The sequence below is a fragment of the Homo sapiens genome, chromosome 15 (genome assembly GCF_000001405.40).
Source record: "Homo sapiens chromosome 15, GRCh38.p14 Primary Assembly".
NCBI lineage: Eukaryota > Metazoa > Chordata > Mammalia > Primates > Hominidae > Homo > Homo sapiens.
In genome coordinates this window covers 26,861,345-26,886,112 of record NC_000015.10, presented here as the reverse complement: position 1 = coordinate 26,886,112, position 24,768 = coordinate 26,861,345, and the positions used below count along the sequence as shown (strand labels likewise).

Here is a 24,768-nt window from a genome sequence, read left to right as displayed (position 1 = left end):
GGGAGGTGGAGGTTGCAGTGAACCGAGATCGTGCCATTGTACTCCAGCCTGGGTGACAGAGTGAGACTCCATCTCAACAACAACAACAACAACAACAGCAAACTGCATATATATGGTACACCTTTCAGGCTTTGGACCCAAAGATTAAAGTAAGATTAGATTTAATTAGGATGAGAATCAAGAACACTAGTCCGACGAGGACCAGGAGTGTATTCTCATTCCATGAGCAGAACACAGGCATCCCCACAGTAACCACATCCAGCATTCCTCCCAGCCCTACGTGAACCCCTAGACATCCTCCAACACCTCGGCCTCTGTCTCCACACCTGCTGTCTACACACAGGGCTGAGACTGCACTCGCTTCTCTCCAAACCCTTCCTTTTTCCATGGACTGATGGCTAAGGACTTATTCTCAACCCTTGAAATATTTCTCAGGTTTTCAACAACCTCTCTAAATCAACAAGGTAATGTCCAAGGACACTGATGCTCAAAACTCACATCTCCATCTATGGGCAAACACGTTCAAGATCAATGCGAGGAAAGACAAAATGCCAAGTTGTGTGCTCTAGGCTCACTCATCACAGCTCCTTATTGGGCTGTTACCAGGACAGTCCTGCTGTCAAATAGATTTGGAACTGTGAGACAAGGTAACAAATGTGAGAGAAGCCACCTTTGCTCATTTCCACCTGCCAGCATCATTTCACAAAGTCCCTGATTGTGTCTCCAGAAAGATGCTTTGAAGCTCAAACAGGATAGAGCTCACGCCCCCCACATCTCTTGCCTGAGTCACCACATTCTTTTTTTTTTTTTTTTTGAAACGGAGTCTTGCTCTGTTGCCCAGGCTGGAGTGCAGTGGTGCGATCTGGGCTCACTGCAAGCTCCGCCTCCCAGGTTCACGCCATTTTCCTGCCTCAGCCTCCCAAGTAGCTGGGACTGCAGGCATCCGCCACCACGCCCGGCTAATTTTTTGTATTTTTTTTAGTAGAGACGGGGTTTCACCAAGTTAGCCAGGATGGTCTCGATCTCCTGATCTCGTGATCCTCCCGCCTCGGCCTCCCAAAGTGCTGGGATTACAGGCGTGAGCCACCGTGCCTGGCCCTGAGTCACTACATTCTTTACAAGATAAGAGCACCAGTCCTTGCGTTTTCCTACACAGAAGGTAGGGTCTGAGGGGGTTAGTGATTATGCCTCCGCAAACCATAACCAAATGTGCTCTTGCACCCAAGCTGCAATGAGATGTTGCACAGGCTGATTATCCACCACAAGTGCACAGCAGCAGGATGAAAGACTGCACCGCGCCGTTGGTAAACCCCCTCCAAAAGGCGGCTCCCAGGCTACAGGCCTCAGTCTGCAGTCCCTTGTAAGACCTCTGAACAAAATTTAGTTCTTTAAAAGCTTGATTTTTTTTTCCCCTTTAATCAACAGGACACAGTGTGTTACAGTATTCACCAGAACATATGCTAGGAAACACAGATCCTCCAAAGATGAGAGCATCAATATTACTTTCCACTATGATTACTCTTTTTAAACATAAAGTTTACCGTGAAAAATTGTAGCAAGATAGAGAAATTCCAGTACCTATGCAAAAGGAATGTGCTTCCTTTTTTTTAACTTGACTTTAATGCTGTTTTTTTCAATTTAAAAAATATTTTCTGAAGCCTACTTCCATAGACCCACTTTGGAAACTTTGAAAAACTCTAAAGGAGCCTTTCTCATTGACCAATTTGTTGATTTATCCAAGGCAATGAATAATTCAAAATTTTAAAAATGACTAACAGTCCATTTAAATTATAAATACTAAAACTTAACCTCAACATTGGAATGTTATCCAAGCATGTGAGAAATAGGCTTTTAAAACTTCCAAAGGCTACACAATTGCAACAAAAGAAAATAAAAAATTCCCTTCTTTTTTTTTTCTTTTTTCGAGACAGAATCTCACTCTGTCACCCAGGCTGGAGCGCAGTGGTACAATCATGGCTTAGTGCAACCTCAAACTCTTGGTCTCAAGGGATCCTACCACCTCAGCCTGCCAAGTAGTTAGGACCACAGGTGCATGCCTCCTCGCCTGGGTGAATTTCTTTTTTGTTTTTTTTTGTTTCTTTTTTTTTGGTAGAAACAAGGTCTCGCTATGTTGTCCAGGCTAATCTCGAACTTCTGGCCTCAAGCAATCCTCCCACCTCAGCCTCCCAGAGTGTTGGGATTAAAGGTGTACAGGCATGAGCCACCACGCCCGGTCCTCCTTAGATGTTTAAGTTTAATATAATAATTTTTCCCTATCCGACATTATATGGGCCATGGTTCCAAAGATGCTCTTGAGCTTGAACCGAATAAACGAGTCCAAATGACAAACGGCCACGGACCTATGGCAGCCCTGGGAAAGAACGTCCAAGAGCGCTGGTGTGGGCAGATGGCAACGGGGAACCCCCAGCACACACGCGCCGCAGTCTCAGACCTATGGTCAGAACAGCTCCGCGGCGCAGCTCTTGCGGCAGGATGGGCAGCCGCGCCTGCCCCGCACCGTCCCCCGGCCCCGCCCGCCCCCGCCCGGCGCTCACCGCATGGTGTAGAGCAGGGTGCCGTCGTCCTCCAGCCGCAGCAGCTTGTTGGGCGTGGTCATGTTGTGAGCGATGGACTTCTTCCCGTTGTGGAAGAACGTGTCTGGGGTCCAGATCTTGCTGGCAAGGAGGTTGTTGAGAGGGAGGCGCTGCATGGGCCCCTTAAACCGAAGCCTTTCATCTTTCCAGCTTTGTCGGAAAAACACGTCTATGGTGTACTCCTAGTGGAAAGGAAGGCACGAGGCAGTCAGAGGGCACGGGGCCTGGGCGGGGGCCTGCGGCGCGGAGTAAGAATTGTCTGCCCAGCCATGCCCCGGGACCTACCATTTCCGTGTCGGACACCGGGCCGAAGCTGGTGACGTAGATGTCGGTCCTCACCTGAGTGATGCGCTCTGAAAGACAGACACAGGTCCCTGGGCTGCACCGACCCACCCTGCGCGTCTGGCACACTCTCGTGCTCTCAGTCCAGTAACCAGGGTCACCCTCTGCAACCGGGGGCTTTTGCAGTGCGTTTGGTAAATTTGGAGGACTTGACAATTACCAGATGAAATCGAGCTGCTCCCCGCTATACCATGAAATGAAATTCCCATCATACAGAACACAGCTTGGCTCTCCTCCTCCTTCTGCTCCCTGGGGAGCAGTCCTGGAAAGACCTGGGCTGAGGCCTCGCCGTGGGGCCTTGGGGTTTTGCAAACACCCGAGCTTCCATTTCCTCCTCTGTAAACCTGGAGCAATGATGCCAGCCTGGCAGCTCAGGGCCACGCCGTCGCCACAGAGAGGGGCTTTAAAAAGCATCAGACAATTCAGGATGAGGGGAGCTGACTTTCCAATCAAAGCAGGAGGTCCTGGGTGGTCTCCGGGAAACGATGTTGAGAATGTGCCCAGTGCGCCCTGAGACAGGAAGACCCACTTCTCTTTATGTAGCGTTTCGAACTGTTATTATAGAAAGCCCTATCATGGGAGACTGTGATTTCAAACAAAATTATTGGAAATAGGTAAAGTGATAAAAGTGGCTAATAATATTTGGGGGAAAACCTGTGTACTTCCCTGGGCACTACCACAGCCCTGTAAGTCCCCGTGGTCATGAGTAGGAAGCAATTCAAAGTGCACTGCAGCCCACACCGGGTAACTTCCAGCCGCACTGTGGGCCTGCCTCTCCAGCAGCTCGCGGTGTGATGATCGTCTGCATGGCGTGCATCTGTGCGTGGGCAGGTGTCTGTGTGATGCTGTGTGTTGTATGATGCAGTGTGCCTGTCTCCTCACTGAGATGCCAGCCCCAGCAGGGTGGCCCGGGAGGCTTTCCATGGTATCCTCCTACTCTGTAGGACTGGAAGGCAGAGAGGATGAGAGAATACCACAAGCACTGACAGCAGCTTAGGGCTCCTCTAGATGCTCTGACCCTTCTGAGTGTGTTCAAGGGACTGGACTGCTGGGCACACAGGCCTAGGAACATAATTCAGAGGGCAGAGTAAGAGACTGTTAAGGAGCCTGTGCCCAAAAGGCAGAGAGTGGCAACTCATGCTTTAAGTGGATCTCCCTGTTAAAAATGCAAATACTAGGCGGGGCACTGTGGCTCACACCTGTAATCCCAGCACTTTGGGAGGCCGAGGTGGGTGGATCGCCTGCGGTCTGGAGTTTAAGACCAGCCTGGCCAACATGGTGAAACCCCATCTCTACTAAAAACACAAAAATTAGCTGGGCATGGTGGTGTGCACCTGTAATCCCAGCTACTCCGGAGGCTGAGGCAGGAGAATCACTTAAACCTGGGAGGCAGAGGTTGCAGTGAGCCGAGATCATGCCATTGCACTCCTGCCTGGGCAACAGGAGCGAAACTCCATCTCAAATAAAAAAAAAATGCAAACACTAGACAACTAAATTTTTTCCTCCAAGAATGTATTCACTGGAAAGTGTCTACCTCACCTAACCCAACAAGTTCAGACTCCACATCTAAACTGTAGAGCCAAGGGGATTGCACATGCCTGGAAACTGCACACAATTCTTAGCACAACAATGAAGCTGTGCCAGGTGTGCCCTACAAGAACAATCTACATCAGTTCATTTTTATTGAATTCCACAAAGTCAAAGTAAATACTAGGACTATGGCCATAGTGAAGCACTAAATGCATAACCCATAAAGATATAAAGGATGACTGCATTCCACAGTGGATTTCTGAAAAGGACTCGCATAGATACAAGACTATGAGGTTGATTTTATATTATTTCTTAACATAGGGTAATCTCAGCTTTAGTAACGCCTAAAAGCTGGTTCCTCCTTAAGTTAACCAGACTAGACATTAAGATTATCTGGGAAGAGGGGATTTTGCAAAGATGTTTGGGAAGACCACTTCCCCCAGCTTCTTCCACCTAGAAATAACAAAGGATCTTGCGTCTAGAAAATAACAAAGGATCTTGCGTCTAGACAATAACAAAGGGTGCATGATTCTTGGCAAGAGTGGAACAGCCATCATACCAAAATCCTGGCAGGGAAGCTCTTTTAGGAATTGTTTGAATCAGCGCAAACACAAGCTTGAGACGAGACTTAAGCCCTTCCTGGATCCTTGCTGGGCTCAGCTGAGGAGAGCACACTCACCTCCCAGCCCGGGCCGAAGTCTGTTGTCGTAGCCATCCAAGAGCCCATCCAAGATCCTGGTAAATATCGTGATGTTGTCATTGGTCTCATCTTTCACTGAACTGGTTGGCATCTGTGAAAAGCTTTTAAAAAGAGAAACAAGAGGAAGCGTTAAAACATATTATTTCTTACAAATTCTTCTCAAGATACAGAAACCAGGGAGTCACGTGGAGGCTTGTCTCCTGAGACGAGGATCTGAGAACACAGCTCCCATAGTGCCTAGGGGATTGTTTGGCCTTGATACACCTCAGTTCTCCAACATCCAAGGATACTCTGCTTGGGGCTAGTTATCCAACCACCTAACCTGAGGCTCAAAGTCTATCATTCTGTGATTCTAAGGAATTGGTTTATGTCAATATTTTAGCCATTTTTAACAACCAATTAGCCATTGCGCATGGACTGGCAGAGCCTAATCCACTCACAGGGGATTTCAGAAGTTTGGTTTAAACACACAAAAACCGAGTTCTCATATTGCTAGAGTCACCTGCACTGGGCGCTGGGGCATGGAGGGGACGCTGAGAAACTTTCCGAGGTTGTTGTTCCCAAACCTCACTGCATCCTTAGTTGGTCTGGGAGCATTTGTGCTGTGAATAATATGCCAGGATTGGAGAGTGAGTGACAGACATGATGGAGTCTGTGTCATCTCTGGGGTCCTGCCCCTTCAGTGTGCCAGCTCACAACACATTCTGTGGGACCCAGCGTCACACAATAAGCCCTCAAGAAAAGTGGGCTGACCCTCAGGGAAGACACAAGAACATTTTTTGTTTGTTCAATCAAGTTATCCAGATTCCAAAAGCTTATGTAATATGAGCAGAACAAAACTAGAAACTGCCCTAGCAGATCTAGACAAACTGAGGATGGTATCTGGGGGGACAGAGAGACCACAAGCCCAGAAGACAGCCCCACAGCTGAAGAGCATGGATCCCACCTCAGGTTTCTACAGCTGCTTTCAGATGTGCAAATAGCAACTGGTTTTGAATTACTGAGCACTTGACTGCAAATTTGGCTTCAAGGGGACTTACCAAACTGAAAGCCAGCTGTGGTTCCCAAGAAGCGAGTGCCCTGGGCACTTGGGAGAAGAACATGTGATTCCTGGTACTTCCCTGAAGTGCCCAGCTGTGGGGCCCTAGCTGTGCTTAAAGTGCTTTCTCTCCCATGAAAAGGCTGAAATCAGAGCTGAGAGCCACCAGCCATGGAGAGATGCTGAGGTCAGAATCGATGCAGGCCTGCTCCACCCTGTTCTTAAAAGTCAGTCATTTTTATTGATTGCATCTAACAGATCAATTCTTTGCTGGCCCTAAAGCTATTCCCTTTTGAATAGAATGAGAGAATAAAGAATAAAGGAATAATGCTCTTTTGATCTAAGTTTCACATCACCATAAAAATGCATATACTTGAAGCTCTAACAAGCTAAAATTCACTCCTGTTAGTACGGAGCCCACAGATGTATACTTTTTTAACTCTGTGATTTCATATTTAAAAACATTAAATTCCCCTTTCTCCAACATCCATGGTAGTTGCACACTTCGGAAAGACATAGCACTAAGCCTAGCATAGCTCCTCCCAGTGAACAGCCTTCTTCTTCAGAGTTTTGCAGGGGGAAAAAAGAAGGTTATATTTTGTACCTGCCCAGTTGTGTAACTATTGGTCAAACCAGATCTGGCTTCATGATGCACTTCTCATGGACTTCATAATTGTCACCGAGTTTGCAACTCAATTTTAGACCACGTCCAGGTGCTCAGTTTTTGGAAGGTCTTTGCTGTCTCTTTATCTTACCAATTGAGGTACTAGTAGAAAAAGCAGATCTTAATGGTGAAATTAAAGTTTTCTAAGCTACTCCATTCTCTGTTGTGAAAATGTTCCTAAATTGTGTTAGATGGTAACAGCCCTGGCTGTCCAGAGACAAGGGCTTGACTTCATGATTGACCATTTGGAGGCTGTGCAGCCACAGTGATGTCTCTGTGAGCGTTGTTTTCCGTGGCTCTCTCCAGAAGCGGAGATAAAGACACTCCTGCTCTGCCAGTTTTAGGGAAACACCATCCCACTGGGCTCTGAATCCCACTCACAAATACCCTAATCATTTCCCACAGTGACGGAATAGAATGCTATGCTTAAGAATTTCAAAGCTCGGATTCTACTTCTTGATCAAAATTATTTTCATTAGTTTCAGTATATCTACACACATTTGCACATAATTACACTTTTCTTGGAGGAATGTCAGTGTCTGCCCTTTCCTGCCATACTGCCTTTTGCCTTTATCTGTAGACCTTTCTTTGTACGATGGGGCCATGGCTGGGGATTTGCAGTGTTGTCCTTGCTGTATTAACTGAAGATAGCCTCTAGGAGGGAAGAAACAGATTCTTAAAAAGCTCTGATGATGCCTATCGGGGTAGGAGCAGAGGGGTTTTTTTTTGTTTGTTTGTTTTGTTTTTTCATGAGCTGGAGGCCCTCCTCTGTCCATAGGCCATCCTCAAAAATGCTTCATCTGCAGTGCGTGGTTATGAAATACACCGCTTTCACAGCCATGGAGAGAAAGGCTCGTGCTGTATCATAGAAGGCAAATGCTGTGTTTTCTCAGCCCCTGGTGTGTAAGTGCCTTCATACAGGAGACCTTCACACATGCCTGGGGAACTGGCTAGCGCCTCTATCAAGCTGTATGATCTTTAAGAACTGCTGCTAAGCTAAGGAGGAACTTCAGCTTGCTTTGTTCCATTTTGGCTCATTGAAAGCACTTGAAAAACAAAATAACACAGAAATCCAGGGCTATGCCTTTGGTGAGCACTAATGTGCAGCGTGTGACGGATGAGTCCTACAGGTGGAAACCAAGATGTCCTCAGCCCATAAAGCGCTCACTCCGTTTAGGGTCAGCAGGCAGCCTACACTCGCCGACGCGCCACTTCTGCTTTTCTCAACTGCACTGAGTACAGCCCAGGAGCTCTGCTCATCCTGAGGTCGACCAGAGTCCACGAGTGCTTCAAGGACAAATAAAGGCTCCATTCTTTGGGGAAGTAAATTTTTGTGAGCTGAGATTATATCCCTATTACTAACAACAGTCTTAGACATAACAGAAATATTTGAAAATTTGGTGACTTACCCTTCAATTTTAGTCTGGGTTAATTCACTAGGTTCTCTTAAAATAGGAATTATTTCCTTATATTGAATGCATATTCTCTACAAAACATGTCCCACTTATGCCATATTCTCAGTTCCAACATTTTCCTTATTTGGTACTTGAAAGAGTACAAGTTGTGGCGTCATTTCTGGAGAAGAAAAAATCTTTTCGGTATTGTCATTCCACCACGGGTGCTAGTGAAGGCAGTGTGTGACGTGCTTCTCTTATATGGATGACCACTTCTGACTTACATACAGTGAGTTCGATAATGGCAACTGCAGACGTATTTTGACTGGAAATTACTTTGGACCTTGAACTGGGCTTGTTTTAAGCTGCAGCTTATCTGTCTTCTTAAACTTTGTTCTTCCCCAGTATTTAATGACTTCTGAAAAATGTCTCTTCTGTTTATTTGTCTGTTACTTTCAGGTCATTAAATGAGTACCTCTAAATGGCACCATTGTGTGATGTTTTCCTCAAATGCCCATTACCGATCACTTAAGCACCATATTAGAAAAACAACAACAATGTAACAGAAAAACAAAACCAAGATGGACACTGGCTGGACAGTGAGGGTCAATCCCAGGGTTCCAAATAACAGCTTTCCCCTCTTAAGGTGGAAAACATGGACAGGCACCACATTGTTTTATGAGGCTCTGAGTCTGTGCCATGGAACATCATGCTAGAACTCTCCGATATTCCTGCCAAATCCTAAAATCCCCCAGTTCTCCCTGCAGCTCCTGAAATCCTACTGAAGTGTATTCCTCAATCTTCATGGAGGTTCTCCATTCTTGCCCTTGGCACTGCTGCCCAACTCAGAATCCTGCTGCCCACAAGGTAAAACCCAAGCCCTATGGCCCCACAGGCCAGAGCCACCTCTCCCACCCTGCCCTCCTTCCTAGACTCAGCCCTGTTCCTCCTCCCAGCCACACTGGGGGTCCTGCATAGGTGATGACACAGTGATGTTCCATCCCAGTCCTTACACACATTCTCCCCATTCTCTTGCCATGCCCATCAGCAAGCACATCCGCTCTAATACCACCGCTCTTTAAAAGAGCCTTTCATTCACCCCATATTCCCTTCCAGTCACTGCTCCATTCTTTGCCCGTCTTCCATGAAAACTCACTGGGAGATTTGTCCATATGAGCAACCCCCGCTGCCTCCCCTCCCTTCTCTTGTAACCACTCTGCCAGGCCTTCACTACCTGCATCCCAAGGAAGCTTCTCTTCTGGAGGCCAGTAATGAACTCCACATGGCCAAATCTGAAGATCAAGTCTTGGTCCTCAGCTTAGTTGACCTGTGGGCAACATTCCTACAATCCTTTCCACTGGGCCTCAGGGCACGGCTCTGTCTGTCTTTCCCTTTACTTGCCTCTTCCCCTCAGTCCTGCTGCCTCTCTTACCTTCCTGACCTCAGAACACAAGCATGCCCCAGGGCACGATCCAGACACCCTTTCCTTTTTGTGTGCACTTAACCTCCGACTGTCTCATCCAAACCAGTGGCTTAAATGCCTCCCAAAGTATGGAAACACCTCAGGTCCACACCTCCAGCCCAATCCCTCTCTGTCCTCCAGACCTCTACATTCACTGGGAGACCTAGTGGTGTCTCCAGGGGCTTCCCACACCACCACTGCACCTGTGACCTTCTGTACCCAAACCTCTTCCCTACTGCCCTCTCCAGCTCGATCATAGGCAGGTGATGGAGCAAAATACCTGTTGGGTTCTCTAGCAAAATACCTAGGGGTCATCCCTGACTTCTCTCTTTCCTTCATGCCCACAATAACCTATCAGCTAATGCTGCTGGCCAAAACAGCCACTCCCCTGGGCCACTGCAATCACCTCTTCACTGTCCCCACTGCATCTCGGGTTAACCCCCTCTCACCTCACTCCAGATTCCATTCTATTCTTTCACTCTGCACCCAGAGTGAGCTTCAACGTTTAAGTCACATCATTATCACATCTAAATTGGATCATGTTTCAAACCTACTCAAAACCACTCAGTGGCCCTCTCTGCCCTTCCAGATAAAAGTCAACTGTCCTTCCTGATACTCCCCTGCATGGCCTATAGCACTTTCGGAATGTGATCCCAACCCCAGCCCTTCCTCCCTGACGACGCTCCCTCCCCGTCTCCCACTTCCTCACGCCTGCCCCTCCGCTGTTCCTAACACATCAAGCATGCACCTGCCACACAGCCTGGGATTCACCCGCCATTCCTCCTGCCAGTTCAGGTTTCTCTGCCAACAGCTTTGCTCACATCCTCACCTCCCTCAGATCTCTGCTCAAGCATCTCTTTCCAGCACACGCACTGTCTCTTACTCTGAATTACTCTTCATAGCAATCATCATAACCTACTGACACTTATTCCATGCACACCAGAGTGTACCCTCCTGGGAGGCAAGCCCCACTCTGCCCCTGCTCTGCTCTGTGCATCTCAGTACCTGGAACAGTGCCTGGTGCATGGTGAGAGCATGGTCCACATTGGTGTAGCTGCAGGGCAATGTCCCCCAGGATGCCCCTGCGAGGGAGACATTGCAGATGTGGGCAAGGCAATGACCTTACTGTGCTCAGGCTGAGGCCAGGCACCATCTCACACTCTGGGTCCAGTAAACCCCAGGAGTCTCCTGGACACAGAACCCAGAATGGCTTGGTGCACTTAGCATACCCTCCCCTGACACAGACCTGGGCTTGCTTGAGCATTTGGCATAGGTTGGCAATTGATCCTTCATACCAGCCTTGTGATCCTGGACCCATGATTAATCCCACATTGAGACCCATGATTAATCCCACATTGAGATTAGAAACTGAGTTGCAGGCAGGTGAAGTAACTCTTCTGACGTCACACAGAGAGCATGTGGACAGAGATCGAAGCCGGGCAGCTACACTGCCCTCTGTCAAAATGACACTTAATGCCATCCTAAATATTCACCAGCGGTCCTGAAACAGGAACCGAACTGACAGTACAGTGATGGCCCAATTGTTCTTGTTAAAACTAAAAATTAACTGGTTCTGTGCTTCATTCACTTTTAGGTTGACTTTTTTTTATTTTAAAATAAGTTGTTAAATAAATACAAATAAAATAGAGTTTTCAATGAACTGCTGAAGCCTGTTTCACTGCAGGTCTTACTCTCACTAGCAAATGATCTTTCTCCACAGTATTCCAGTTCACAATCTATATTCCGTGTTGGAGTTTATTTGGGCTGCAGTAGACAATGTTTTCATAGTGGTAACATGTGAGTTCTAGATTAGGATATTCTTTGGTTTCCCATATATAGTCCTCCCCCCATTCCTTCCCTTTTCAGGGCACTATAATAAAAATTAGGACATTCTGGAGCAGGCCCTGCAGTGGAGCACGCTAGCCCAGCCTGCATTCTCAGGGATCCCTTGCTTTTATCACTTTCAGATGGTAAAACTTGGACACACTTCTCTAAGCTCTAACACCTGAGCTCTTTTCACCTGCAAATCAAGAATTTTGTGTAAATTAAACAGTGCATTTAAAAAAAAAATGCATTGTGAATATTAAGGGGATACACTCATATACATGCTGATAAATGAGTGTATATGATACACTCATATACATGCTGAAGTACCAGCAGACTTCTCTGATGAGATTTCTTTTTATTTTTGCTTCTAGTACTTTCCTCTGAAATTTCTCATTAATTAAAATGAGCATCTTATGCAATTTGAACCTTTGTAAAAACCCGAAAGCCCACATGCTCCTTCTCCCCTTGAAGGGAGTCGGTGACTCACTCCCGAGCTGACTGCCAGACAGTCTTGGCGGAGAGCTGCGCTGGCCGACTCTCCTGCCTGCTCAGTGCCTGCTGAACATGCTGAAAGTTTCCTTTATAAAGCAGATAACTGAGAATTATTTACTTTGGGTACCTTTAAAAACATGTTGGACATTCCCCTATAGTCCTCTTTTAACCACCTACATTTTTTGCCACGTGCAAGAACTGCCTTTTGGCTCTCCCAGGGTCGCTGAAGCCTTTAGGTGCACCACCACTTGTGTTCCTGCTCCCTGCTTCAGTGGGCTTTCTGAGTGCTTTCAGAATTGTTATCATAACTGTCCCGGGCCTCATGAACCCGCAGCTATGGTGCAGGAAGAATTTGTCATCTGGGGATTCACAAGGGAGAACTTTCCATTTAAAAAGATATCATGAGTACCTGCGTGATTCAGAGAATGTACTTTCTGCTCTATTTAAAAGAAGGGAACTGTCCTTGAGTGAGGGTATGGAATGGTTCTCTTCACAAAAACAAACGTCCACACTGGCACACTTGTGTAGACAGATAAAGAAGACTCTGTCTGTTCATGTTCAAAAGCCACTTCTCCAATAACCTACTTTTAATTGCTGCTTATAAAATCTTATTTTCCAAAGTCTATTTGAGTTGCAGCTCCCACATATTAAAATTGTTCAACAGATTTTTTTATCAATCAGTAAACCTCCAAAATATATTTAAGACAATAAAATCAATGGACTCAGCCTTTACCTTATTATTAAGCTGATAATCCTCAATTTTATCTCACAATTGTCACTGGTCTATCAGGTCTGATAAAGTATGATTTTCTTAATGATGATAAATTAATTCCAGTTTAAATCTAATATTATGTATTTTGACATTATATTGGTGCCAATATTGTTTCTGTACTGGTTTTTCTATACTATGTACTTTTGTTTACTGGTCTTACTAAAATAAATATAGTACTTCAAGTAATCCCAGGTCGTCAAACGTACCTTAGCACGGGGCTGAGTGTCCAAAAAGGGCCTTATTGTATTGTATACTTGACTTGGTCTCTGTTCCATAATTTAAAACTAACAGAAGAATTAGGAAGACTATTGCAAATGAGCTGCTGGTGACTCCAATCAAATTTAGAATATGATCAAGAGAAGGAGAAGAACACTCATGTATTTTCAAAGCAATTTCATATCAGTTATCCTATATAATCACCAAGTACATTGCACTTATCACATCTATAAATTTTCCAACTGCCAGTGCCACACACGTTTCACAAACACTGCATTTCGACTTGGTCCACGCACATAGCCCTGCTCTTTTTCTTTTTCCTTCTTCTTCCCTGCCTGATTCTCTATAGTCCTCCTCACCCACTGCCAGTTCTCTGGCCTCTCAGGAGTCAGCACTTCTCTTGTCCTAGAATCAGGTTCAAATTAAACCCTTTGATGCTTCTCCTTTCCCCTTTCTTTTGAACCCAATCACATAAACTCTTTCTTTGGAGGGAAAATAAACTGAGTTGACCCAGACTCTTTTTTCCCGCTAATCCCCAAGTACTGAAAACTCTCTCCACTCTGAAGCAGGTACTACCTTTTAGAATTACGTTCCCTCTTGTCTAGACTGGTTTGATCCAGGGCTACCCTGCAAAATGTGTGCATTCAAGTCAGGGAGCCCAAGAAGTGACAGGGGGCGGAGTCACACAGGAAGCTCCGAGTAAGGACTCCTGACTTCTGAGGTTAGGCATTCATCCTCCCTCCTTCCCAGCTAGAAGATGGGCTAACGGTGCTCAGCTCATACAGTGGCTCCTAGGATTCATCCAAAACCAAAACACGAAACATAAAGACAGGTGCTCCACGTTGTGGTAGCTATTTTTTCAAGATTTAAAGTTAACTAAATATTAGGAAATTTCAATCGGGATTTGACACAATTATTCTTAAGTCCATTTAGATAATATACAAGTGAGAGGAGTCTCCTATAGGAAGGGAAATAAATAGGGGCTTGATGTATTTTATGATGTCTTTTGTGGCTGTTGAAAAACATGCCCTGCTGGCCAGAATGTGTGAACCTGGCTTCCCGCTTTGCTAGAAACCCCACTTCTTCAAAAGCAATTGGGCGCGCAGGGTCAAGAGTGAAAAGTGCTCAAAGAACCTGATGTAAAATTCCTCTTACAAAAATATCTTCTAATATAAATAATCTCAAATACCTAAGAAAACTTGTAAGCCAAATACGTTCACTACAGGAAAATTTATAACAGCAAAATCATTCACTACGTAAACATCCCCAATTAGGGAAGAAGCTAACACAAGGCGCTCTTGCCCTGTCAAATATGCAGCCATTTAAAATAATACATTTTAAAGAAATTGTGATCATGTATTGGGTAGGAAAAAAGCACAGTACCAAACTGCACAGCCTGATCCCAACTGTATAAAAAACATGCACAGAAGCAAGGGGAAGTCAGTGCACCAAATGGGAAGCATGGTTGTCTCTGGGTGGTGGAATTAAAGAGATTCCTTTCATTATCGACTTCTGTATCGCACATATTTGCTGCAATTAGTCGGTGCTGTTTTATGATGGATTACTGGCCATATACCTAAAAGATTAAAAACTGCTCCAACAGTTAATTTTCTGGAAAGTTTGAGGGGTATTTTACCACTTACTCAGTGTTAGCTTTCAGAGACTAAGATACCCCTCTATTTTGAAGATGACCTCAGCAAGCTACAGAACTAAATAAGAAAGCATACCTGCTTCTTGGGGCTAAACTACTTACACACATTACTTCCTATTTCAGACCTGCATCTACCAGGGAGTGAAACCATTTCATGCTTATTCAATGCAAATTCATAATACATTTGGCTAAGATTTTGTTTCTTTGTTTGTTTTGTTTTGTTTTGTTTTGTTTTTGAGACAAAGTCTTGCTCTGTCGCCCAAGCTGGAGTGCAGTGGCATGATCTCAGCTCACAGCAACCTCCACCTCCCGGGTTCAAGCGATTCTCCTGCCTCAGCCTCCCAAGTGGCTGGGATTACAGGCATGTGCCACCAGGCCTGGCTAATCTTTGTATTTTTAATAGAGATGGGGTTTCACCATGTCAGCCAGGCTGATCTCGAACTCCTGACCTCAGGCGATCCGCCCCCCGCTTGGCCTCCCAAAGTGCTGGGATTACAAGCATGAGCCATCACGCCTGGCCTAGCCAAGATATTTTAAAGAAAATATAAGTTTCCAATCCTGATATATTCTTCACCACCAAAATGCTACCAAATATATGCGGTATATCAAACAAACCAACTACCTAATGCATTAGATGACAAATTTGAATATTCTGTGCGATTTCACTTATGTACAGACATTTCATTCAGAAGAACATTGTGAACATGCTAGTTTACAGGCTTTGGCAGCTGCAGAGAACTTGTAAAGGAAAACATTCATTTAATAGATAAAAAAAAATCTGAAGGCATGGGAAGGGAGGCATCCACTCAAGATAAGCAAGGCAAGAGCCACGGCCAATGCTCTTTCCCAAGGGAATACTTAGAATGGCTCAAAGGGCTGAGACATGCCACACACCTGTTCCCGTCAGTGTGGTTAGAGTGCACACACTGCCTGGCTTCTGTTGGTGAGGGACAGGCATCTTCCTTAGCTCAGCTCTGCTGGACAAAGTCTCAGCTGATGGCTCAGGCTTGCCCCGGGGTGGATGTGGACTAAAGTCCCAATGCTGTCTTCTACCAGCCACTGCACCTGAGCAAGGCCCCCACACCCACCCCTTCCTCTGCACAGAAGAGTCAGAAGAGCAGAAAATGTACAGAGGACAGACAGAAAACATCATGGCCCTGGGGATGTCTTCTTTCCCCCCAGATGGGAAGGCTGTCTACAGGCTGTTGCCAAGCCACTGGATATTCCCCATCCTGTGATTATTTACATAAATGTGGATAGGCTGTGAAACCTCTGGACCCCATTTTTGCAGCACTAACGCTTGGCAACTTTTGTCCTGACATTTAATTTCTTAATTATATGCCATCAACTTCAAGTTACAATCCTTTTGATTAACCAGAACAATTCTAGGGCACGGGTCAGAACAGGAACAGCAGCCTCATAAGAACATTCATCCACGATGTGGGTTATCACTAGTTTCATGAAAAAAAAGGTTAGAGTTGGTATGCGGATACTAAAGGCTAAAATGAAAGAGGGGTTACTGGAAATGATAGTGCCAGAACCTCAGGGGTGTCTTTCAGATCTTCAGGCACCTGTGGTTTATGGTGTCTGCACCTGCATTCAGATGGTCACAGTTCTAGGGCCTTGGCTCAGGCCAGGACCATTGTGAGTCCTTTTCAATGCCAAGTAGCATAGGCCTGGCTTTCAAGGCAACTTTGATTGCATAATGGAACCGTGGAGGGCAACTGAAATGTTGGCACTGCCTTGTCTAACAAGCAGTGACTGTCCTTCATGCATGTGAACTCCTGAATCTTGTTTTAACCTGAGTAGGAAGAATCACAGCTGACTCGGATATCATCTTCAGCTTCCATTTCTGAAAACATAATCTGCCTTTTTTTCTCTGACTCACTTCAGAGACCCCACGTGAGGAGCAGCCTTGCTCAGGAAGAAAGCGTGGGTCAGGGCAATGACTTCATTTATTTACAACAAGTGAAGGGCTTGGGACTGCAATGGTGGCAGGCGAGGACTTGCTCAATGGATGTGCTGCTCCCGTAACATGTCTGAAAGGCACCAGTGTCCCTAACATCATAAAATAAAAGCACAGATGGTAACTTACCCAAAGTGACTGGATAAGTTCATGGAAATACAAAAGAGAAGGAGGTTTTTGATCATGATAAAACCAGAGAACATTCCATTGTCCATTCCCAATAAGAATAGTAGTTGAAGCAGGTGAATATGGAGGAATAACTCTTCCCTTCTCCAGCTTGTTCTTGAAGCTGAAAAGCACACAAAGCGGGGAAGCACGTGAACATCAATGCTGTTGTGTCACAGTTCCTGGAATCAAATCACACTGCTATCACAACAATTTGCAAAGAAAGGAGCCCGCTGTCCTTCCCCAGGACAGCTGCACACCAGGTATTTTCCATCACCCTCACTGGGCAGTAAGTTGGAGCATAAAAATAAGTAACAAGAGGCTTATTTTTACTTCTACTCAGGGTGCAGAATCACCCTAATTCGTTGTTTTCCACTCAAATACTCTGTTTTGTTTTTTAGCATGTTATCAAATAAACCATTAGTCCAATTATTAAAATAAACGCTGTAGTTATCTGAGCGACTGTATTTTGTATCCGTCAAATCCACAAGTGTAGTAATTTTACCTTTCTGAAATATCTGCCACGCCACGCGTTCAAAGCCAGCAAGCTACTCCTCTCTCTGCAAGGCACTGAGAAAGTACGTGGAAAGAAGTGGGGAAAAGCACATTTAAGAAACAGGTTTTCTGCAGGATCACAATACTGTGACAACTGCCTATAAAAGAGTGTGGCTACTTTCCCGGCATTCGGTCCCCGTGACTACATAACTTAAGCACTGCATCTGTGGAAGTCTCTCCACTCAATGCTGGACCCTAATTAATGTATTTGAGATCCAGGCAGACATTGTCCCTGGGCTCAACGACTAACCTTCCTGAAAACACGCATTTCTCAGTATGCGCATAACGCAAATAGGTGCTCACAGGCATCCGAACAGTATGCTTCGAAAAGAAGCATTTTCCCAAGAAGCCCCCCCAACCCCCATCCCCCGCAAACTCCGGAATTGGGAGACACAACAGGTACTTCCACCTCGGAAGCGAAGGCCTTCTGCGACTCCTGCCAAGAAGGGCAGGGTGCCATGCGGTGGTCGCCTGGGCGCGTCCGGGGGGCTCGTCGCGGGGCCCGGGCCAGAGCCAGGCGGCGAGCACGCGGCGCTGCATGCGGGAAACCCGGGCGGCGCCTCCCGCCGCCCCTCAGCCCCGAGCCAGGGACCCCCAGGAGAGGCTGCGCTCCCACGACCCTCCGGACCCCCACAGAGGCTCACCAGGGCCGGCGCGCCAGGGCAGGTGGGCGCGGGGGCTGCACTGCGGAGCCGCAGCCTGGGTCGCCCTGGCACCCGCGGTCGCCACCCGCGCGGTCCGCAGCGGCACGCCGAGGGTCTCCAGCTCCCCGGCCCTCCCCGGCTCGCTCCCGGCTTTCGCAGACTTCCCCTGCTCCTGCCCCGGGTACGAGCCAAGCGCTCCGCCAGGCAGCGCCTTCCTCCTGGGCTGGGAGCGCGCGGTGCAGCAGCGACTCCAAGTCCCCTGGCCTCGAGCAGCCCGCGCGACACGCGCGCGACACCCCCGCGGGGTCCGAGTCCACCCCGCGAGCAGCGCCGGGACGCCGCGCGCCTCAGAGCCCCGGGGCTGACGCTGGCTTTCCAGGTGGGCGATCTCACCCCTCCGGCTCCCGTGATGGTGGCAACGGGTGTCCCCCACCCCCAACCGGTCACCGCGCCCTGGTGCCCCGTCCGGCAGGGATGAGCCGCCCGGACCCCGCTCTCTCCCGCGCCCGGCTTCAGCCCCGCAGTCGCCAGGGTAAAGTTTGCGCTCTGGCCTGGCTGCGCGCCCCGCCTGCTCTGCACCTCTCCTCCCCGGCCACGCAGCCTGCCGCTCAGGCGCCCCGAGGAGAAGGGTGCGGACCGAGCCGGGGCGGCCGGTCCTCTTCCCCGCTCGCGTCCTCTTACCCCACTGCCCCGGCCCAGCGCGCCCAGGGCTCACCCTGCGCGCCGGCCCCGGGAGGCGAGCCGTCGGTGAGGATGCATCCTCCTTCTCCTCCGCCTGCTCTCGCCCGGCTGGCAGGCGCGGAAGGCCGGTGCGGCGTCACCGCCCCATGCTGCCAGCGCGAACTTCCCCGGCACTCCCGGCGGAGCGGCTCTTGCGCCCCGCGCTCCCGCCGCCGCCCTGCAGCTCCGCTCCGCGCCGCGCCCCGGGCCGCGCGCCGCCCGCCGCAGAGCCCCCCAGCGCCCCCGGCGCACTCGCGCCCGCTCTCACCTCGCCCGAGCGCCACATGTCGTCTCTGGGCTGGAGGATCGGCCCTCTGCAGAGGTGCTCCGGTAGAGGCCGCCAGACGCTCAGCAAATGCGCCCTTGGCCGAGCTGGGCGGAGGGGGAGGGCGCAGGGCCCCCGGCTCGGCCTGCAAGGGGAGAGGCCCTGTTCTGCTGAAGTTTCTCCAGGGCCCTCAACAGCATCTTCGGCGCCTCGTGTAGTCACCACCGCCCGCTTGTAGAGCAGGGATGGGAGGGCAGTGTCAGCAGTCGGGTGATAGAGGCCTGGACTCCGACAGCTTTGCTCCCTAGAGCCGGCCCCAACGCCTCCCTGCCCAGGCCTGGGTCCTTCCCGGGTGCTCCATGGCACCCCTTACATGCGCATCTCTTAGGCGCTTCTGAAAGAAGCTGGCCTGTGGACATTCTTTTCATCTCACTCATAGACAGGAATGCATAACTACGGGAGGGAAAGCCAGGGTCACATTGGACTCGATTAGAATGAAATCCTTACCTAACGCAGTGTATATCTGGGGGTTTTCTGAAGTTCCATTTCTTGACAACAAGCCGCAGTGGCAAACGGGAAAGGGCCAGGAGCCCTGGGGGCTGCAGGTCGGAGAGCGCCTCTGGGGTGACGGGGCGGGATCTCCCCAGCAGGGCTTCCGAGCCACGTCGGGTCACTGCCTCATTAGCCACGTACATGGGGTCTTACTATGGTCATTACGTCGGTGTGTCGTCCGTCCTAGTGGTGCAGTTCCTGGGAGGTGAGGGTGGCATTAATGACAACTGCGCGGCAGCAGGGCCCCTTCAAACAACACAAGTAAGAGCGCATCGTCTTGGGTTTGCCAGGTCTTGCTTCCTCAGGAGGTGGGGGACTCTCGACTATAACACCCAGTGGAAAACGTTCAAGACTCAAAGGAAAGCCACTGAAAACGTGATGGGGAGGTTTACTTACACCATTGTCCCATTCCTTTTGTGAAACTGCATTATTCATAATCTCTTTTAACAGAATAATGGTAAGTAAAGGCAAATTCCTAACTCCCCTCCAGGAAAGATCTTTGACCTTCCAGTGTAGGAAGCCTCTCATTTTTCCAGTTATCTCTAATACAGTGTATTCCAAATCTAAGTTACCTGTTAATACTTCTGCACATTCCAGAAATTCTGAAATTTTCTGAAAAACAAAACTTGTAAATCTATTCCAGGAATAGGACATAAATATACATAAATGTGCAAATATACAGGAAGTGTTTCTCTGAATATACATTTAGCCACACTATTAAATAACTGTTTCCAGTGGTTCTTCAGGAAATATGAATGAAATAAGATGCTAATTTGAATTTTCTAATTCTAAAATGGATCACTGAACGTATGCATTTCTTCATTTTCTAATTTCCCAAAAGATGTACCACTAGGGTGAAATTCCTTGGGAGACATTAAATTTTAAAAAGTTAACAACATGGTTTTATGATCAGCCTAATATAATTTTCACCTATTAGGTGTTGGAATTCTAACACCTAATACCAGCGACAGCTGCTCTTCTCTCAGGATTAAACAGCATAATGCAAATCAAAGAGTTGGAAGAATTGGTAAATTTTAAACTTCACAGCTTGTCACACAAAGTCATTCGGTGTGAGTTTGCAAAAATAAATGTATATAAACAAGGGATGATTTTTGTATTAGCGAGGGTTATAGACATTAATTCTTAATAATAAAAGAAATGTCAGCTGTAAGGAAATATGTTCTTTTGATGGATTATGTTTAAAACTTCCACTTTTTTTGGTACACTTTCTATCAGCTTTATGTCCACACAACACATATTATTGAATATATAAAAATCATTTTAAGTTAGAGTCATTCTTTAACATTGTATTTCAGCATGTTGCTTAAATTCTTTTCTCTTCCCTGTAATGAAACGGTATGCCACTCTCTCTCCTCCTAGTGTTTATGTAACATAACATAGCCTCACTTTAGATGGACTGCCCTGAGGGGACAGTGAAATCGTAAGGCCCATCAGAACCTTACAGAAACTCACATTGCTAGAAGAGTGCTTACTACCATTTCAATGATTTTTGTTTTACTATAGAATTCTGTATTTGTGCTGAGAAATAATAGGCTATCCGTTGAATTCCCATTTGTTTCATTAGCATTTTCTCTTCATTGAATGAAATTAAGCAATGTCGTGATCGTTGTGGAAGACAGTAGAGGGCACCCTAGTTCCACACAACCTCAGCCTTGGCCCGGGCTTCATAAGAATTTCATTTCCAGTGTCAGAGCCTAAAATAGCTGAAGGTGGGGAAGCTGGGCCATGAGTAGAACACGTGTTCACAGAGCACCCACCCTGTACCCCGGTCAGGGGCAGGAACTGAGACAGTGGCTGTGTTTGCGTGGTTGGGTGTGGTAAATGTGGCTGAGACATGAACACAGTGCCATGGTATAAGTGAGATCATGTGCTATTTGTCTTTCTGTGCTTGGCTTATTTCACCAAGCATGTTCTCCAGGTTCATCCATGTGGTCAAAAATGGCAGGATTTCCTTCTTTGTTAGGGCTAAATAATATACTGTCGTATATGTATGTTATACATATACGTGTGTGTGTGTGTGTGTGTGCGTGTGTGTGTGTACGTATCTCACAGTTTCTTTATTCATTTATCCATTGGCAGATGCTTAGGTTGTTCCATTATTTGGCTATTGTAAAAAATGCCAAAATGAACATGACAGTTCAGATCTCTCTTTCAGATACTGATTTTATTTCCTTTGACTATATCCCCAGAAAGGGGGTTACTGGGTATATAGTGGTTGCCACGGGCTGGGAGAAGGAGAGACGGGGAGATGTGGGTCAAAGGGTACAAAATTTCAGTTATGCAAGATGAATAAGTTCTGGGGATCTACTATACAACATTGTGACTACAGCTAACAACACTGCGATATATACTTCACACTTGCTAAGAGGGTAGATCTTATGGGTTCTCATCACACACACAAAAGAGGGCAGCTCTGCGAGGTGATGGAAATGTGAGTGCATGTGATTGTGGTGGTGAAGTATACATGTATCAGTCATCAAGCTGAACACCTCAGAAACCAGATTTTACATCAATGAATGGATGAATGAACAGATCTACATTTCTGGATTTAAAAAAATAAAAAGAGAAGACACCCCACAGCTTTAAAAACATGGGGCATCCGTTCCCACCCTCCTGCATCACCTCCATTCTACTGACACCTGACATGGGTCCTTAGAAGAACATGGTCTATTCTTTTTCACACTTTGCCTCCTTTATGTAACTAGGAAAATAGAGGCATATGGGGCTTTTAAAATGATACTAAATTTTTTTCTAATTTCATTGTATCTATTTTATCTTCTTTAGTGTTTTATTTATCATATCTCTATTTTGCCATATTTCATTTTATTTTGTGATGGCTCTAGGGTTTACAGCAGGCATCTTTAACTCATCATAACCTATCTTTTTTCTCTTTTCTTTTCTTTTTTTTTTTTTTTTTTTTTGCGACAGAGTCTTGCTCTCTTGCCCAGATTGGAATGTAGTGGTAAAATCTCAGCTCACTGCAACCTCGAACTCCTGTTCTCAAGTGATCCTCCCATCTTAACCTCTCAACTAGTTGGAACTATGGGCATGCACCATCACACCCAGCTAATTTTTGAATTTTTAGTAGAGACCAAGTCTCACTATGTTGCCCAGGCTTGTCTTGAACTCCTGGGTTCAAGGGATCCTCCCACCTCGGCCTCCCAAAGTGTTGGGATTACAGGCGCGAGCCACCATGCCCGGCCTACAGTCTAACTTTAATTAACATAATACCATTTCATGTACAGTGTAGTGCATGCAACTTACAATAATATACTTCTTTTTTTCTTCCTGTCCTATTCACTCCTGTTATCACACATATGACTTCTGCATTCAGTGACTTATATTTTACTTTAACAATCAATTTCTTTTTTTTTTGGTTTTTAGTTTGTGAATGTAGAATATGAAGGTGCCAACTCTTGTTGACATGTCCTTTCTTTTTAAAAAAACATTCAGTAGATTTAAGGACACAAGTTGTTTTTGGTTACATAGATGAATTGGACAGTGGTGAAGTCGAGGCTTCTAGTGCATCTATCACCCAAATAGTGTACATTGTGCCCAGTAGGTAACTTTTCATCCAGTAGGTAATCTTTCACCTCCCTCCCATCCTTCTCCCTTCTAAGTCTCCAGCATTCATTACTCTGGATGTCCCTGCATACCCACAGCTTCGCTCCCACTTATCAGTGAGAACATGCAGTATTTGGTTATCTGTTTCTGAGTTACTTACTTAGGATAATGGCCCCCCAGTTCCATCCAAGCTGCTGCAAGTGATGTTATTTTATCCTTTTTTATGGATAAGCAGTATTCCATGGTATATATATGCACCAAATTTTCTTTATCCACTCAGTTGATGGGCACTTAAGTTGATTCCATATGTTTGCAATTGTGAATTGTGCTGTGATAAACATATATATACAGGTCTTTTTGATTTAGTGACTTCTTTTCCTTTAGATAGATACACAGTATGGAGTTGCTGGATCGAATGGTAGATCTACTTTTAGTTCTTGGAGAAACCTTTGTCCTGTTTTCTGTAGAGCTTGTACTAATTCACATTCCTACCAACAGTGTATAAGGACTCCCTTTTCATCACATTCTTGCCAACATCTGTTGTTTGCTGACTTTTTAATAAGGGCTATTCCTGCAGGAGTAAAGTGGTATCTTATTGCGCCTTTAATTTTCATTTCCTTGATGATTAATCATGTCAAGCATTTTTTCATATGTTCATTGTCCATTTGTACATCTTCTTTTAAAACATGTCTCTTGATGTCATTTGCCCTCATATGAATGGGATAATTTGTTTTTCTTGCTGTTTTGATTGAGTTCCTTGTAGAACAATCAATTATTTTTAAAATAGGTTTTCAAATGAGAAAAAAATTTTATTGGATATGACTTTAATTCTGCTCATAGAAAACCCTTCGTTACTTCCTGCAGCACAGGTGTTCTATGATGAGTTCTACAAACTTATTTCTCTGAAAACGTTTTTCTTTCATTTTTCACTTTTTAAAGATACTTTTTCTCAGTATAGAATTCCAAAATTCTGAAAATTTTTGAATGTATCTGTATGTATCTGTATATACAGATATTTTTATATGTACAGATGTTCACCAACTTACAATGGCTCAACTTATGATTTTTTACTTTACGATGGAGCAAAAAGTGATGTTTCGGGAGAAACTATACCTTAAGTACCCATCAACCATTCTGTCTTTGACTTTCAGTAAGTAGTCAATAAATTGCATGAGATATTCAACACTTTATTATAAAATAGGTGTTGCTTTAGATTATTTTGCCCAATTATAAGCTAACGTAAATGTTCTGAACACGTTTATGGTGGGCTAGGCTAAGCTATGATGTTTCGTAGGTTAGGTATATTAAATGCATTTTCGACTTATGATAGTTTCAGCTTGCAATGGATTTATCAGGATGTGAGCCCATTGGTCAAGAAACAAATACAGTCATACAATGTAAAATGACATTTCAGTCAACGATAGAATGAATATACAATGGTGATCCTATAACATTATAATGGAGCTGAAAAATTCCTATTAGCTAGTGACATCATAGCCATTGTAATGTCATAGCACAACTACTTAGTTTTTTTTAAATTTAGTGTAGCCTAAGTGTATAGTCAGTGTTTAAAAAGTCTACAGTAATGTCCTGGGTCTTCACATTCACTCACCACTCACTCACTGAATCACCC

The 24,768-nt window shown here is 45.9% G+C and overlaps 1 protein-coding gene across 8 annotated transcripts in view; it reads right to left on the bottom strand.

Moving 5' to 3' along the window:
- GABRA5 (gamma-aminobutyric acid type A receptor subunit alpha5) overlaps positions 1–19,394 on the bottom strand; it is an 82,490-nt gene extending 63,096 nt beyond the window's left edge. For 2 of the 8 annotated variants that reach the window (NM_001165037.2, XM_017022055.2), the window contains exons 1-6: positions 18,729–19,394; positions 17,320–17,384; positions 16,779–16,938; positions 5,146–5,267; positions 2,880–2,947; positions 2,556–2,776 (exon numbers count right to left, since the gene is read on the bottom strand). In NM_001165037.2, the coding sequence (NP_001158509.1) occupies positions 2,556–2,776; positions 2,880–2,947; positions 5,146–5,267; positions 16,779–16,864 (497 nt within the window). In that variant the 5' untranslated portion in view covers positions 16,865–16,938; positions 17,320–17,384; positions 18,729–19,394. Of the gene's footprint in view, positions 1–2,555; positions 2,777–2,879; positions 2,948–5,145; positions 5,268–16,778; positions 16,939–17,319; positions 17,385–18,013; positions 18,299–18,694 lie in introns of those variants that run through there. The other 6 variants (NM_000810.4, XM_047432338.1, XM_005268258.3 and 3 more) reach the window with 4 other exon arrangements.